This window comes from Homo sapiens, chromosome 7, assembly GCF_000001405.40.
Source record: "Homo sapiens chromosome 7, GRCh38.p14 Primary Assembly".
In the NCBI taxonomy this organism is placed as follows: domain Eukaryota; kingdom Metazoa; phylum Chordata; class Mammalia; order Primates; family Hominidae; genus Homo; species Homo sapiens.
In genome coordinates this window covers 43,607,049-43,623,941 of record NC_000007.14, presented here as the reverse complement: position 1 = coordinate 43,623,941, position 16,893 = coordinate 43,607,049, and the positions used below count along the sequence as shown (strand labels likewise).

The 16,893-nt window shown below is 41.0% G+C and overlaps 2 protein-coding genes across 56 annotated transcripts in view, besides 1 other annotated feature; one reads left to right on the top strand and one right to left on the bottom strand.

Annotated features, from left to right (window-relative positions):
• The window catches only part of COA1 (cytochrome c oxidase assembly factor 1), a 121,067-nt gene extending 105,582 nt beyond the window's left edge, over positions 1-15,485 (top strand). For 49 of the 54 annotated variants that reach the window (NR_146943.2, NR_146940.2, NR_135582.2 and 46 more), the window contains one exon: positions 14,301-15,485. The gene's annotated coding sequence lies outside the window, so the exon portion shown is untranslated. The remainder of the gene's footprint in view (positions 1-14,300) is intronic. The other 5 variants (NR_146945.2, XR_007060085.1, XR_007060080.1 and 2 more) reach the window with 1 other exon arrangement.
• STK17A (serine/threonine kinase 17a) overlaps positions 1-16,893 on the bottom strand; it is a 44,272-nt gene that overhangs the window by 3,438 nt on the left and 23,941 nt on the right. For both annotated transcript variants that reach the window (NM_004760.3, XM_017012792.2), the window contains exons 3-6: positions 15,542-15,686; positions 4,219-4,345; positions 322-370; positions 54-233 (exon numbers count right to left, since the gene is read on the bottom strand). In NM_004760.3, coding sequence (NP_004751.2) covers positions 54-233; positions 322-370; positions 4,219-4,345; positions 15,542-15,686 — 501 coding nt within the window. The remainder of the gene's footprint in view (positions 1-53; positions 234-321; positions 371-4,218; positions 4,346-15,541; positions 15,687-16,893) is intronic.
• Positions 14,977-15,146: an enhancer, noted in NCBI's record as "experimental_99082 CRE fragment used in MPRA reporter constructs". NCBI's record gives its function as "activates a minimal promoter by MPRAs in K562 erythroleukemia cells, with activity observed for the non-introgressed 7:43648480 variant allele {active_cell/tissue: K562}" and the evidence as "EXISTENCE:reporter gene assay evidence [ECO:0000049][PMID:34662402]".

The window sequence follows — 16,893 nt, the reverse complement described above, 5'->3', positions numbered from 1 at the left end:
AATTTTTTAATATTGAATTAGTTCAATATTAAACTAATAAAAATAATACTTACTCAGGTTTCTTAACTAAAAGTGTCCTGATGAAATCAACAGCCGACTCAGACAAAACATCAAATTCTTCCTCAGAATAACTTAAATTCATCTGTGAGATGTTTAAGAATGTTTCTTGTTTATCATTGCCTAAGAAAGGTGATATTCCTGTAAGCATGACATATGTTAACACTCCAATGCTCCTAAATTAGAAAGAAAATGCAAGAAAAATTTAGTACCATACTCATTTCTTGAAACTAATTTGATCAATTTTTCATTAATAACTCTTACCACATATCTGTTGCCATGCTTATAGGATCATAACTAAGAATTTCAGGAGCTAGTATCAGAAAGAGAAGAAAACATTTAGTTTTGTGGAAAAAAATTCCTAATTTGCTCTAAGAGATAAAAAACTAAGCATTAGAAACTATAAGGCACTATCCAACGTTTGGGCTAAAATGAAAGGTTACCATAAATTAATATGAATTAATATAAAGCCTAACTAGATGTTTGTAATTAACTTGTTTACTTTTCACACTTCTACCCACCATTGTTGAGTCCCTAGTATTTTACAAAATATTTAAATATTTTAAAAACACCAAACATAAACTGACAATCTCTGTGTTATTAAGCATTGTCTCTATCAGATCATGGCTTTTAAAACTTTCTCACTACCACTGATATTTCTGCTTCTCCATTGCCCCACCCTCACCCGTGGCACTTTCTCCTCTCACCTGGGCCTTTTCAACTACTTGTCCCACCCCTCTGATCTATTTTTCTGTTGCAGTCAGAGTGAGCTTTTTAAAACATCTACCCATTAACAAAAAGTCAACAAGGTTAAAAAAAAAAATTGGGCATTCTGACACTACAGGCATGGGACAAAGGCAACTAAGTTGCATCTATAGAATTGAGAAAAATAATATGCTTTGAGGCTGGGTACCCAGCACTTTGCAAGGCCAAGGCAGGAGGATCGCTTGAACCAGGAGTTCAAGACCAGCCTGGGCAACATAATGAGACTCTGTCTCTACAAAAAATAAACAAAAGCTAGCCGAGTGTCATGGTGCATGCCTGTAGACCCAGCTATTGGGGAGGCTGAGGTGGGAGGATCACTTGAGTCTGGGAGGTCAAGGCTGCAGTAAGCCGAGATAGTGCCAGTGCACTCCAGCCTGGGTGATAGGGTGAGACTGTGTCTCACAAAAAAAAAAACAAAAACAAAAAACTTTGATATAAAGTAAATTGCTGCCACACATAAACACAATAGAAAGACACTGTCAAATATGCAAGGATTCAGGAAAAATATTATAAAAATGCTCCTTAAAAAAATCTACTCACAATCCACTTAACTAAAGATTTTTTTTTTCAAAACTATACAAATAAGGAGGCTAAACTATTAAAATGCAGTCAATAAGTACTGAATCCACAGAAAAACAGACCAAAGACTAAAAACTGTGGTAATTACAATTAAAAAAAGGAATGAAAATGTTCTATTTCTATGAAAAAACGAAATACTCAAGGTCATGTATCTACTACTCATTTGTGACAAACCCCCATAGAATAAATGAGTGGGAGGAAGAGGTTGGAAAGGAAATGCGAGGTATGCTAATCTCCTAAATTTTGATTTCTGAAATGGTTGAGTGAGAAACAGAGGTTGTGAATGTTAAAGTTTCAAAAGAAGTGACTAGGAAATTAAAAATGAAATGCATAGCATCCAAATTACCGGGGAAGAAACAGTAAAACAGACCACATAGCAAGACTGTGGGAGGAAGGGTACAGGAAATACCAATAGCTTACTTTTTTGAGTGCTTATTATGTGCTGAATACTGGTTTAAGGGCTTTGTACAGCAAATCCAATGAAATCCTTACAAATTCCCTATGAGGTCGGTACTATTACTAGCCCCTTTTTATGGACAGAGGAATCTGAGGTATAAAGAGATTTAAGGGCCAAGGTCACATAGATGGCAAGTACAGGGCCAGAACTCACACCAGTTTCTGTGTGTATGTAAAATGACTGTGGGAGGCATAAACTCACCTTTTAAAAGGTGAGTCACGGAAGGAAAAAGAGGAGAGTCCCTTTGTTTTTCTGTATTATGTACTTTTGAATCATTTTTAGTTTTTTTCTTTTTGGATTGAGCTTGTACTTCCATTATAATGTTTTGAGATGGGGAAAGGCTCTTGATAGAAAATTTAAAATTTACTAAGGAACAGAAAGCTCTAAAACAAATCACTAGCCTGGGCAACACAGTGAGACCCATCTTTACCAAAAAAACAAACAAAAAACTGGCCCGCTGTGCTGGCACGTGCCTGTGGTCCCAGCTACTCGGGAGGCTGAGGCAGGAGGAGCTCAAGTTGGGAGCTGCAGGAAGCTATGATGGTGCCACTGCATTCCAGCCTGGGTGGCAGAGTGAGACTCTCTCAAACAACAACAAAGAAAGCATTAAAACAAAACAAAAACCCACCTCATTCAGGGCAATAATTACTATTTTGATTTTTCAGCTCACAGACCTACATTCTGCAGTCTTGTGTATTTGAGCTTACAATGGTACCCATTAAATTTGGCTAAAACACTTGGGTTGCTGTTTTCCCTAAAGAAACACTATTAAGTCACATCCCCAAAACTAACTTAGTGGTCATGACGCATATTAGTCAGTGTACTGAAAATTAAGTATTCTGGCCCATTAAAATATATAAAAAATTTTAAAGGTTGTTTCTGTGCCTGTGGCATCTTTTATTATCTAATTAACTAAGGATCTTTTAAAAAATCTCTGAATTATTTTTTGAACTATCATTGCCATACAGGTTTGTTTTCTTCAACCCTATCGGCCCTCCTGAGTCTTTCTGTGCTCCGGATAGCTCTTTTCTTGTAACATCCTCAGTCCTTCAAGAACTACACACTCCTTTTACCCTCTTCTCTGAAAGGAGACCCTGCTCTCTTCATTCCCCCTCTTCTAGCCTGTATTTGCTCACTTCACACTTCTACCCTCAGGCACAGAGTCTTCCCTCAGGCCCAGGCCACAGCCTTCTCCATTCCTGCCACGGCCGCCCTCCTCTTCTCCCAGGTCTGCTGGCAGCCTAGGTGACTTCCACACTGATGTCCATGACCCAGACAGCCTACCTTCACAGCTTCTTGATTTCCTGGTCTAAAAAACTGCCTTTCCAGCCTTATATCCAAGGCCTCATAATTACAAAGAGCTATTTCACCACTGAAATTTTAAATATTAATATTCTTTTTTTTTTTTTTGAGACGGAGTCTCACTCTGTCGCCCAGGCTGGAGTGCAGTGGCACGATCTTGGCTCACTGCAAGCTCCGCCTCCCAGGTTCACGCCATTCTCCTGCCTCAGCCTCCCGAGTAGCTGGGACTACAAGTGCACACCATCACGCCTGGCTAATTTTTGTATTTTTAGTAGAGACGGGTTTTGCCATGTTGGCCAGGCTGGTCTCAGATTCCTGGCCTCAAGTGATCTGCCCACCTTGGCCTCCCAAAGTGCTGGGATTACAGGCGTGAGCCACTGCACTTGGCCTAAATATTAATAATCTAATCTCTGGTCACAACCTCTCAGTTTCACAGCCTTATTCTACAGATACCTTAAAAAGACCATCAAACTATTAATCTTTCAAACTCCAATTTTCCTCAGTCTATCAAAGAAAGTAATAGTTGACTTCTTTGATGATACGCCTACACCCATGGAGTATCATCATTCAGCTGCTTTCTTGCTGCTACCTTCAATGTTTAAGCTCCTTTTTCTTTCTGCCAGAAGCACTCAACCATGGATCCAACCAAATGCCCTCTCTGCTCCACACTTCTATGGAGCCTCAGACTTGGCAATTCCTTTGTCAATGTTTGTTATCAACCAGAACATCCTTAAAGGTCCTTACTTGTTAAATATCCTCCCACCCTCAGATAAGCTAATATCCTACTTTGTTAAGAAAATCCTCTCCTATTCCTTTTAGAAGTAATCCCTTCAAATTCTCTTAGCTCTGTAGTGAAGAGATAGTGAAGAGATCACCAATTTGGTATCTTACTCTTGAACGTTTTCCATTGTAAAATGTAATCCAAAGGAATAGATCTCTGATGGTAGAATTTCAACATAGTAGATAGCTGGCTCCACTATGAGTCATGCCACATGGACAAGTCCCCTAATGAAGGTGATGCCTGACCCCAGAACAAAACTACTTTTATGAATACTTACCCACATATTCAGGGGTACCCATAATTTCTCGGAGCTCTTCACTGTTCTTCAATATTCTTGAAAGGCCAAAATCAACAATCTTAATGTCACCCAATGGAGATTCACTTGTCAACAGAATATTCTGAGGCTAAAAGAAAATACACCCCCGCAAAAATCAATATAACTATGATTAAGTACACAAAACATGCAGCCCATAAAACATATTTCACCTATGAAACTGAGACTGAGGAATTTAACAGTAAACAGTCATTTGTTAAAGAAATATTTTTACAATTTATTGCCTATGTATAAGGCAGCAGGCCTGTACTCTCTTGTATTTTCAATCTCTTCCCCTACTCTGGCTCTTCCTCAGCATATAAATATGTTTCTATCCCTACCTTATGGAAACCATTCCCCATGATCCTGAATCTCCTTGCATGCAGCACGCTTGCTCCTACTATTCCCTCAAAGCTCAGCTTCTTGAAAGCATGGTCAAGCACAATTGGTATTGTTTTCTCAGTGCAACTAAATCTCTTCTGACCCCTTGACTGAATCTGCCTTCATTAAGGTCACAATAACTTCAATAATCAAAGACCCACCAAATCCCGTCTGTGTCTTTCAGGGACTATTTTGCATGCAATGATTTCTGTAGCACTGGGCACTGTCAAGCATCCTTGTATTGTTGAAATTCCTCCCCATTTTCTCCACCTTGGGTCTCTTCCTTCTTCTACAGATCCCTCACAATTTTCTCAATGTTTTCCTTCTGTCCTCCTTTTAAATATTTGTGTTGTTCAGGATCTCTCGCTGCATGGCCCTCTTCTCCCACCACTCTGCATTCTATTTTGGAGCGATTTCATCTACTTCCAAAGCTTCAGCTGCCACTTACATACTGATGACTTCTACCCTAAGTTCTCTCTGGACTTGTGAGTGGGGATATGTGGGGTGAGGACATGTACAGTAATGGGAAAGAGCTCCCCAGAGCCACAGAATCAGTGAGGTTCATATCCATGGAGTCATTTTTACCCAGTGGAAAATAACCTAAGATACTTTCACATAAAAAGACAAGCAAATATATTATGGACTAGAATGTAAAATTCATTAAATTTTTAAAACACGAAATTTGAAAGGAAAGTTTGTGCTTGCATTATAAAGGGTCCTCACTTAATGTTTTCTGCCATTAAGAATATTTCCAAAGGTAAGCTGAGAAACACTGGTAAATTACAAATACTTCACTCTAACACCCAGTGTTTTAAGATTGGGCCCCTGCTTCCTTTTCAAGATTAATCTGTCACGGCTCCAAAGGCAATCTGTGCTCCAAATCAAACAGTCTGTAATCCCTAAATAACACAGCTACTCCCACATCTCATGCCTTTACACACGTACTGCCTTTGTTCAGGACGCCCTCTCCCCTTTTCTGCCTGACAGATTTATTCTCATCCCTCATTCCATGCATGATGGGTCTCAATAAAGAACCAATTCCTCTGTAAAGCCTGCCCTGGCCTCCCCTGCTCCTTCCAGGGAGGGCTTAATGGCTGCCCCGTCCCTGCTCCACAGCATGGTGTACACAGCATGCTTACTCTATTGTTCTGTTAGCTGTTTGTTTCTGTCTCCATCACATTGGTCCTCTAGATGTATAGAATGAATGTTCACATTTCCTTTCCTTCCATTCATATTCTGCCCCTCCATCTGACTTCTGTCCTCTCATTCCACTACAAATCACAAAATCCAGTGATATTCTTCAATGCTTTTTTCTGGACCCCTCCCTTAGCAGTGTTTGACAAAGTTAACCACTCCTTCCTTGTTTATATGTTATCTTTCTCTTGGCTCCCATGACAAAACACTGTCCTGGCTTTCTTCCTATCTCTGGCTGTGTCTTCCATCTCCTCTGATGGGCCACCTTCTTTTACCTGGTCCACTGGATGCTGGGTTTCTCAAGGCTTGATCTTGAGGCCTTTCCTCTTTTTACTCCAAACTCTCAGCTTGCATGATCTGCACCCAAGGCTTAAATATCACCTACACCTTAAGACTCACAATGTTTTTCTCTCTTTCAGACCTCTTCAACCAGCTGCTTACCTATTATCTCCCCTTTGATGTCTCAAAGGTACCTCAAATTCAACATGACCAAAAACAGACTCCTATTTTCCTTCCTAAATCATATTCTCCCTATGCCAATGACAGGCGTCTCAGTGAATGCTATGATCATCCCTCAGAATAGGAGAGAACACTAACAATCATCTTGGCCATTCCTTTCCTCCCCGCTCTTCCATTTAGCTAACATGTCACCATAGTTGATTTTAAATACTAAATTCCAAGCATTTCTAGACTTTGCCTATTTCTCTCCATCTACGGAAAATTAAAGCTACCTTTCTTGCTCTATTGCAATGGCCTCTTCAAAGGTTTGCTAGGATCTGTTTTGCCCACATTGAAGCCAGAAGGTTCTTTTGTATTATATAAATTGGATCTGTTGTCCCCTTTCCTAAACCCTTCCACAGCCTCCCATTGCTCTTAGGTAACCTCCAAACTCCTTCGCATGGTGTGCATGTCCTGAGGTCCAGCTTCTGCCTAACTAGCTCTCCAGACTCATCATATGCCATGATCCCCCGGCTCCATGAAGCTGGGTCCCACGGGACACTTTCCAGTCTCATACTTGCCATGCTCCCTCTCACAAGAGTGAATTTGTATATGGTATTCCCTCAGTCTAGAACGCTTTTTTCTGTTCTTCTTTGCCTAGTCTCAACTTGGTGAGAAGGCCTAAGATGGTAGTGAAGCAGATTACAACAATTTCCATAGATGAGAGGGGCTACAATATGAAAAACGAAATTGAGGCATAGATGGTCCCTCCTTTTTTGAGACGGAGTCTCACTCTTTTGCCCAGGCTGGAGTGCAGTGGCGCGATCTCGGCTTACTGCAAGCTCCACCTCCCAGGTTCAGGCCATTCTCCTGCCTCAGCCTCCCGAGTAGCTGGGACTACAGGAGCCCGCCACCACGCCCGGCTAATTTTTTGTATTTTTAGTAGAGACGGGGTTTCACCGTGTTAGCCAGGATGGTCTCGATCTCCTGACCTCGTGATCCGCCCGTCTCAGCCTCCCAAAGTGCTGGGATTACAGGCGTGAGCCACCGCGCCCGGCCAGACGGTCCCTCTTTTTAAAAAGGGTCTTACCTTCTATCCAACCATCCTTCCTACCCTTTTCTATTATGAAAATGCCCGTAGGTTTATCAGTCTGAATTCAGAGAACGGGAAGAATCTACAGCTTCATGAGGACAGAAGCCACAGTACTGATTACTCTTTTGTCACTGTGATCAGTGCCTACCACACATTTATATTTGTTGGGTGAATGAATGGAAGAAACATAACTATAAAAAAATTAACAGGGTGTCTATTTTGTGTTAGGACTAGTGGTAGTATAAATATTAGCAATAAGAACGCCCTACTGTCAGAGTTTATAATCAAGAGAAAATAGATGAACCTGCCAGGCTCAAGTCACTCTTCTGTGAATTGCACCATGAAAGCAATATATACAAAGTGCTCAGGCGATAAATATATCAGAGTGATTAATTCTGCCCTGGAAAATTACAGAGGAGATATGTGAGCAGACCCTGAAGGGTAAAAAGATTTCCTCATTTTTTCAACAAATATTTATTGATTGCCTAATGAGCTAGGCCCTGGGGAAATAACAGAAAACAAGACACCAGTCCTCTCTTTTGGAGCCCTGCATCTTAAGACAAATAAGTACACCTCAGGTCGCTTTAAGCACTATGGGGAACTCAAAGCAGGGTGATGGGCGAGAGTGGTTGCTTGGGGTGTGTGCATGGGCATGTTATCTTTAGGGGAGTCAGAGAAGGCCTCTCTAAGAAGGCAACCTGAGGGAGGAGAGGACAATGTTAAAAAAGAGCCAGTCACAGCTCAGTGTCCTGGAGGGGTTGGAGTAAGCAGGAAGCATTCCAGGCAGAGGGAAGAGAAGTATAGAGGCCGTACTGCTGTGGAGCATCTGCAGGAAATCCTGTGTGGCTGGACGACAGCACAAGGCAAAAGGGGTACGAGTGGTGGGAGGCATGAGGTTGGAAAGGAAATGGCTAGGAGATCACAGGGCTTTGTAGGCTATTCTGGAGTAAATGGCAGAAGGCAGGCCACGTTTTCTTTGTTAATTAGCTTCTAGCTAATTCTTCACGAAAAAAACACCTATGTACCATCATGACTATGAGTCCTCAGACTTTTCAAGGCAATTTTAGTTTTCGTATGTTAATAAAATACTATAGTACAACAAAAGGGCTGGGCGCAGTGGCTCACATCTGTAATTCCAGCAATTTGGGAGGCCGAGGTGAGTGGATTGTTTGAGCTTAGGAGTTCGAGACCAGCCTGGGCAACATGATGAAAACCTGTCTCCACCAAAAATACAAAAAATTAGCCAGGCATGGTGGTGTACACCTGTAGTCCCAGCTACTTGGGAGGCCGAGGTGGGAGGATCACTTGAGCCTGGGAGGCAGAGGTTGCAGTGAGCCGAGATAGTGCCACTGCACTCCAATCTGGGTAACAGAATACGACCCTATCAAAAACAAACAAACAAACAAAAAACAAAACAAAAACTATAGTAACCACAAAATGTCTTATTATTCAGGCAAATTTGATAGGAGGGCTTTGGTTCAGTGATACATATTCATAATTGAATGTTTTGCCCTTTTGAGTACACGCAAAATGCCAGGTGAAATACTGCTAGGGAAAATCTTCACCAAATCTTGAGATTTTCTTGTGATTAGTAAACATGTACATTCTATGAATGTTCTTAAATACCATTTGTTCCCTTAAAATAGTTTAAATGTTTTTCCCTTTTATGTATTTACACTTTATATTCCCTGAGAAATGCTTTCTTTAGTTACTATGCAAAAACTAATTGGTTTGGTGGTAATGTTGTAAATCCTAAATCAGTGTGATCAAATTATTAAAATCTTATTGTATGAGAAGTCTAGGCCCTGTTACATGCATCTATGATACACCAATGTGAGAGACTTTCTAAAAATGAAGTTAAACAACTGAGAGAGAGGTTGCTAGAATAAACACATTTCTCATAAAATCAGAGCTATTTCATGGGATTTCAGTTAATATTTATTATGTGGCCTTTACCAACTAACTGTGCCCAATTTTGACCACAGGGCTATTTTTAAAAATAGACTTTGCTTCTCTAAATAAAATATATATACAATTACAGGACTATAAGCTCTGTTAGTTCTTCGATGGTGAAATATATCTACTTCCAATAAGCCGAAATACATGTCCTGAAAACAAAGCTAAGTACCTCAGCATTTACAATTTAGTTAAACTTCCTTTCTAGGGAATCCAGTTCATTATAAAGAAGTTGTGGCACACAAAATCTAGTTCTATTTAAAATATATGAATCCCAGGTAGTAAGGGAGAGAAAGAAGCAAGGTCAATCAATAGAGAGGTGATAACAGTGGAATAGGCAGAAAACCTGCAGACGGTCCGTAAATAGATGGTGGCTGTAGGGAAGTCTTTTATTTATCTCGGTATCTTCATCTTTGTACATAATCCATTTAACGTTTACTGAACAATCACCACTGGAGAAGATTTGGCGGCTAAGATCATTGTAAAGTTGAGGTTAACCTGCTCAATAAGGCTTAGGGTGTCATGGGCAGGGTTTTAAGGAACATTTTATCAGACAATTAAAGTTCTAGTATATTAACTATTAAAACCCAGGTTAGAGTAGAGAAATAGGTTAATAATCCCATCTAAATTAATTTGGGGGACTGTTTAGGAATGTTTTTATTACCCCTGCTTTCAAGTAATATACTGATGCTCAAATTTAAATCTCATATGGAAAGTCCCAGCTTCTGGCTACTTTTTTTGAAATTAATTTTTAGAAATTAATGTTTTAATAAAAAAGTTTTTGAGACAGGATCTCACTCTGTTCCCCAGGCTGGAATGCAGGGTGCAATCATAGCCCACTGCAGCCTCGAACTCCTGAGCTCAGGCAATCCTCCCACCTCAGCTTCCTCTGTAGCTGGGACTAAAGGCGCGTGCCACCATGGCTGGCTGATTTTTTTAATTTTTTGTGGAGATGAGGTCTCACTATGTTGCCTGGGCTGGTCTCAAACTCCTGGGCTCATGTGGTCCTTCTACCTCAGCCTCCCAAAGTGCTGGGATTACAGGTGTGAGCCACCACACCTGGCCTTCTTCTAGTCTACTTTTAACCATGAGCATAACTGGGTGGAAAAGTTAGTGATAGAATCCTAGTATAGTTGTCCCATGGTATCAGTGGGGATTGGTTCAGGGACTCCTTGCAGATACCAAAATCTGTGATGCTCAAGTTCCTGATAGGAAATGGTACAGTATTTGCATATAACCTAAGCACATCCTCCTGTAAACTTTAAATCATCTCTAGGTTACTCAGAATAGCTATTATAATACCACACATCACCTCATTTGTGTGGATTCAATGAAATACTTGGTGGGGGGCCAATTCAAGTTTAGCTTTTTGGAACTTTGTGGAATTTTTGCACCCTGAATATTTTCAACCTGTGGTTGGTTGAATCCATGGATGCAGAGGGCTGACTGTACTAACACTGCTGAAAGACTGAACCAGTACAACACCATTTGAAGAAAAAAGAGCAATAGATTTTAAGACCAGATTTCTTTGTGCTATTTTTAGTCAGTCCTCCCTCCCTCTGACAGGACTAAAACCAGGCCGCTGTACTGAATGACTAATTCACCAAATTATTGAGACTGTTTGGGTACTTTTAGTTGGTTTTGTTCTGACTTTGCCAGGGTTGTTGTTTCTCAGATTTGCAATTTCTGCAACATTTTATATATTAAACGAATGGGTTTTCTCTTAATCATGGCTTGTCTTTTCTATTTTTGTGGCTGTATGGACTCATACTTTTACAGACTCCTAAATCTGCATCTGCTACTCCCTCCCCCACCCCAAGAACTTTCCCAGCTCTATTTAAGATATTTGGCTGACAGTCTTCAGTGAATCAGTCTTTTGGCAAATTGATCATTCAGGCTCTGCACCAAAGCTAAGCAGTGTATTTCCCATAGCGTCAATTATATCCTTAATAGAAGCAACTATAACAGTTGTTTTAACTTCCAACTAACTTCTGTCACAGGGACAGGAGTTTCCCATTTTAACCAGCATGGAGACTAAATAGCCTAATAATTCAAAATTACCATACATATTGGGATTATCAGTTTTTAGAGAATGAAAACATAATATATTTAGCTTTGAGGCAATGTGGGAAAATAATTTCTTAAAAAATAGCCTAGTCTTTCAAACGCTTCTAGAGACCAAGAGTCAACATTATGAGCACACACTGTCGAAGACAGAGGACAGCAGACTCACTTCATCCAGACTCACAGAGGCCAATTGGAAATGACCTTTTAGTAGAAATCACTCCCGCATGCATGGTTGCCATACCAACCCCATCTCTATCCTCTCCCTCCAGTAGTTGACTCAGAGACATGTCTGACTGCACATGGAGGGGCATGAAGGCAGAAGGAAGGCTGAGAACCCTTTGGACCACTTTGTCTTCTAGTTCCTCTGGGTCGAGGAAACATGGAGAGTCCAGTTTCCAACATCAAAGGCCTGTCATCGTCATCAAGGCCTCTACTGAATCTGGAAAGAATTCTAAACCAAGTGTATTAGAGAGAAAGGAATATGATTGATACTGAATATACTGAGGAGAAAGGGATATAATTTCCTTGTGTAAATACACACTTAAAGTTGGTATTCAAGAACTTAATATTCACCTTTGATGCTCTCAAGTAACATCAAAGATCCATGACACATGGTGCTGACAACCTGTTTGACTTGCTACTTAATTAGTTCTTGAATAGTCACAGGTTCAACTGTCATAAGCTGAAAGCTCATTTCCTATAGGTGCAATGCTATTTAAATTGGGGTTCTCTTCCTGGAAGTCCATCATAAGACTAGTAAAACATCATTAAAAAATAAAACAGATACACGATTTTGCAAAGTTAAGAGTGTAAAACCAAACATGAAAGAAGCTACAGCATAAACATTTATTTTGGGAATTCCTCTGCATGGCTAATACTTAAAGTATTAGCCCAGTGAAAGTCCGTACTGCGGAGGCCATATCTTCCTTGTAAATGTTCCCGAGGGAAGCAAGGTGGAAATTTCTTGCAGCAAGGATCTTTGAACTTCTTATGCATATGACACACTGAAGGGGAAAAGCAATGCCCCCACCCAAGCTATGAAAGGTTTTAACTAGGTAACCTTCAGCATTAACATCAGGCCACCTCAGCGTGTGGGTGTGCACATGTCCATACTTGCTTTCAAAAAACGCCACTGTGTACCATGTGGCTACTGGGTCCTGAGTGTCCATTTTAGCCATGGTATTAAAAAATTAATATCTTTGAGAAAAGATAAATGTGTATAAAATGAATTTACATTGGCATCTTTCAAAAGAGAACAAGAAAACTTCCACATTGTTTTCTTTTCCCTGTATTTTTCTGTAGGAAACGAGTAAATTTTTCTGTAGGAAACTAGTATTTAAAAAGAAACTACCTTTCCACCTAAATTCAAATGGGACATTATCAAGTTTGCTGTAGAAGTCAACCTCCAGATTATACACACTGTATCCTCTTTTTTTTGTTTTGAGACGGAGTCTCATTCTGTCAGCCAGGCTGGAGTGCAGTGGCGCAATCTCGGCTCACTGCAACCGTCACCTCCCAGGTTCAAGCGATTCTCCTGCCTCAGCCTCCCAAGTAGCTGGGATTACAGGTGCCTGCCACCACACCCAGCTAATTTTTGTATTTTTCGTAGAGATAGGGTTTCACCATGTTGGCTAGGCTGGTCTCAAACTCCTGACCTCAAGCGATCTGCCCTCCTTGACCTCCCAAAGTGCTGGGATTACAGGCATGAGCCACTGCGCCCAGCCTGTACACTCCTTCTTGAGAGTGCGCCTTCATGCAATAAAAATTAAGCAGTTATTTATATAGTATTAAATATATACATATATGAATTTATATTTATATAGTATGACTCTATCTATCTATATAAATAAACAAAGGTATTACGGAATGTGCCATATAGCAGTTCTTTTTTTGAGACGAAGTCTCGCTCTGTTGCCTAGGCTAGAGTGCAATGGCGTGATCTCAGCTCACTGCAACCTCCACCTCCCGGATTCAAGCGATTCTCCCCCCTCAGCCTCTGGAGTAGCTGGGACTATAGGCGTGCGCCACCACACTTGGCTAATTTTTTGTATTTTTAGTAGACATGGGATTTCACCATGTTGGCCAGGCTGGTCTTGAACTCCTGACCTCAAGTGATCTGCCTGGCTCGGCCTCCCAAAGTGCTGGGATTACAGGCATGAGCCACCACACCTGGCCATATAGCAAGTCTTTTTTTTTTTTTTTTTTTTTTTTTGAGACGGAGTCTCGCTCTGTTGCCCAGGCTGGAGTGCAGTGGCACGATCTCGGCTCACTGCAAGCTCCACCTCCTGGGTTCACACCATTCTCCTGCCTCAGCCTCCCAAGTAGCTGGGACTACAGGCACCCACCACCATGCCTGGCTAATTTTTTTGTATTTTTACTACAGACAGGGTTTCACCGTGTTAGCCAGGATGGTCTCGATCTCCTGACCTTGTGATCCGCCCACCTCGGCCTCCCAAAGTGCTGGGATTACAGGCGTGAGCCACCGCGCCCGGCCCTGGCCATATAGCAATTCTTAAAGTGGCCCCTGGCCTGAAGTTTAAGCCTCGCCTTGCCCTACCCTGAATCAGAAACTTTAGGGTTGTGGCCTAGCAATTTGTATTAACAAGCCCTTCCAGGTGATTCTGATTCATGTCTGGGTCAGAGAACACTGCCATTAAGCATCTACTTTCTGCTAGAGGGGATACTACAGCAGAGGTCAAGGTAGATCAGTAGATGATCGTGGTGTGAGATGATGCTGCAATTCAGGATGGGAAAGTTTTTTGGGGGTGGTCCAGAGGCTTCGGCCTTCTCAGGTTACCATCCTTCCTAACCCTATTTCCTCTGGCCAGTAAGGCCATCTTTGTAAATGAAATAAACACTAGGAACTAGGGTTGCTGTGGCATGTTCTGTGTTTGAGGAATGTTTCATTTCCCCACAGTTGCACCTGGACTTGATATGAAAGTAACCATCAGAAAATCAACAGAGATCTTAAACTTGCCTACCACAGACACCTGCAGGAATATACTAAGAATCATCATAGTGGACCTTTATTGTCTCCTGAGCACCCATTCTTTGTTCTTTCAGAAACACAACTGGTTTTGAGAATCCATCCCTTCTTCACTCAGTCCACGTAAAGGTTAGGATGGTAGAAAGTGTTATACCTCTTCCTCCAGAGTTGGAGCCTATGACACTGATGACACTGGCATGGAAAGCCAAAGCCCTACACCAACCAGCACACTTACTGGTTCCAAATTGATCTACGCTGGTGTAATCAGAGTGAATCTCAGAACTTTGGACAGAGCTGTGAGCAGAGACTGACTTTCCTGCTGTCTCCAGGTAGCTGCAAGGCTGAACAGCAGCACCTACTTTATTACCATCTTACTGTCATTCAAAGAAGGCAGAGCTGAATGCTGGAGAAAAACTGAGTACTAGCAACAGTTTTTGAACCCTGAATACTGTCATAACTGAAGCTAGAATTATCCCTGGACTTGTTTGCCACTAAAATTTCCTTGTTTTGCTTACCCTGGTTTCAGCTGGCACCCTGATCACTTGAAAGGAACATAACTGATATACTGTCCTTTGTTTTTCTTTCCTTCCTCTTCTCCGCCTTTGATGATTTTAAATTAGAAATCTACCTGCCTCTAATCTCTTTAATTTTCTCATTTATTTACTGCTGCCTATTTTCCAAAACACTGCTTCTCGAATATTCCTGGCTCAAAAATCATCTATGTCTTCATGACATATGAAACCCCTAGAATCCAGCCTTTCCCCAGCTTTTAATATCTCCTAATTGATTTCTCAATTCCAGTGAAATGATTCCATTTATTTTTTTCCCAAACACATCACAAATATTCCTAACTCTTGTGAGCAATTTTCTCTCATTCTTCTCAACTTATCTAAATCCTAACTTTTCAAAAGATCTAGCTCAAGTTCTGTCTTATCATATTTTGAGTTCCTTTCTTTGGCATTGTATTATTTTGTATCTTTCCATGTACACATGTGTGCATTATCTCCCTGATAAAACTAACTGGCTAGAGGATAGGAGTAAAGACTCAATTCTAATATCCTTGTTACCTAATAATACACAAACGTGAAACATGTTTGAATAAATCACTGTTAAATATTTTATGTCTTGAATGTCATTCTTTAGCAATCTCAAAATTGTAATTTGAATCTTACCTTCAAATCAAGATGAACTACATCACGAGTGTGTAAAAAGTGAACACCTTCTAAAATCTGTCGCATAAGTCTTTGAACATCTTTTTCTTTAAAGGCTTCTTCTCTGTCTGCAACACACTGGTCAAAGATTTCACCCCCAGCAGCACTAGAGAAGGGCAAAATTAAAGTAATATATAACTCATAAGAAATGGCGAACACTTACACCAAAACTACAGAGTAAATTAATTACAGTCTGGCAGTAACTGTATACCTTTTTTAAAAAATGTATTTTTATTTTGAAAAATAGAGATGGGACCTCACTATGTTGCCCAGGCTGGTCTCAAACTCCTGTGCTCAAGTGATCCTCCCACCTTGGCCTCCAAAGGTGTTGGGATTACACGTATAAGCCTTTGTACCCAGCCTGTATAACTGTTAGTATGGATTTAACAACCTGAATCAAAACACGGTATAGGCTGAGCCAACTCAGTTCCAAGTAGCTCAAGATGCACCACGATGTAATGTACAGTTTACTAAGCCCTCTGCACATACAGGCCACAATTTGCTGGTAACAGAACTGTGTTCCTCAATTGAAATAAAGAACTGCATTTTGGCTGAAACAGTTTCTTAATCACAGTTTATTGTCATCTGAGTTCCTCAGCCCATTACTATCAATTTACATAAACACAAGGATTTCTTTACCTAAATTTTAAGAGCAATTAGTCTCTTTACACTATAAAGTTACCCATTCTTGCTTTTTTTTTTTTTTTTTTTTTTGAGACGGAGTCTTGCTCTGTCACCAGGCCGGAGTGCAGTGGCGTGATCTCAGCTCACTGCAACCTCCGCCTCCTGGGTTCAATCGATTCTCCTGCCTCAGCCTCCCGAGTAGCTGGGACTACAGGCGTGGGCCACCACGCCCGGCTAATTTTTTTGTATTTTAGTAGAGACGGGGTTTCACCAGGTTGGCCAGGATGATCTCGATCTCCTTGACCTCGTGAGCCACCCACCCTGGGCTCTCAAAGTGCTGGGATTACAGGCGTGAGCCACCATGCCCGGCCCCATTCTTGCTTTAACAAATGGTTTCTTCTTGGTGTTTTCAACAATTTAAGTAGTTTACATAAGCACAAAATATACTGCTAACTACAGTTTTGTGAAAATTTTCAAGTATGTATTTCAAATATAGACTATTATAATAAAATTGAGGCTGGGCACAGTGGCTCACACCTGTAATCCCAGCACCTTGGGAGGCTGAGGCAGGCAGATCACCTGAGATCAGGAATTCCAGACCAGCGTGACCAACATGGAGAAGCCCTGTCTCTACTAAAAATACAAAATTAGCCAGGCATGGTAGCGCATGCCTGTAATCCCAGCTACTC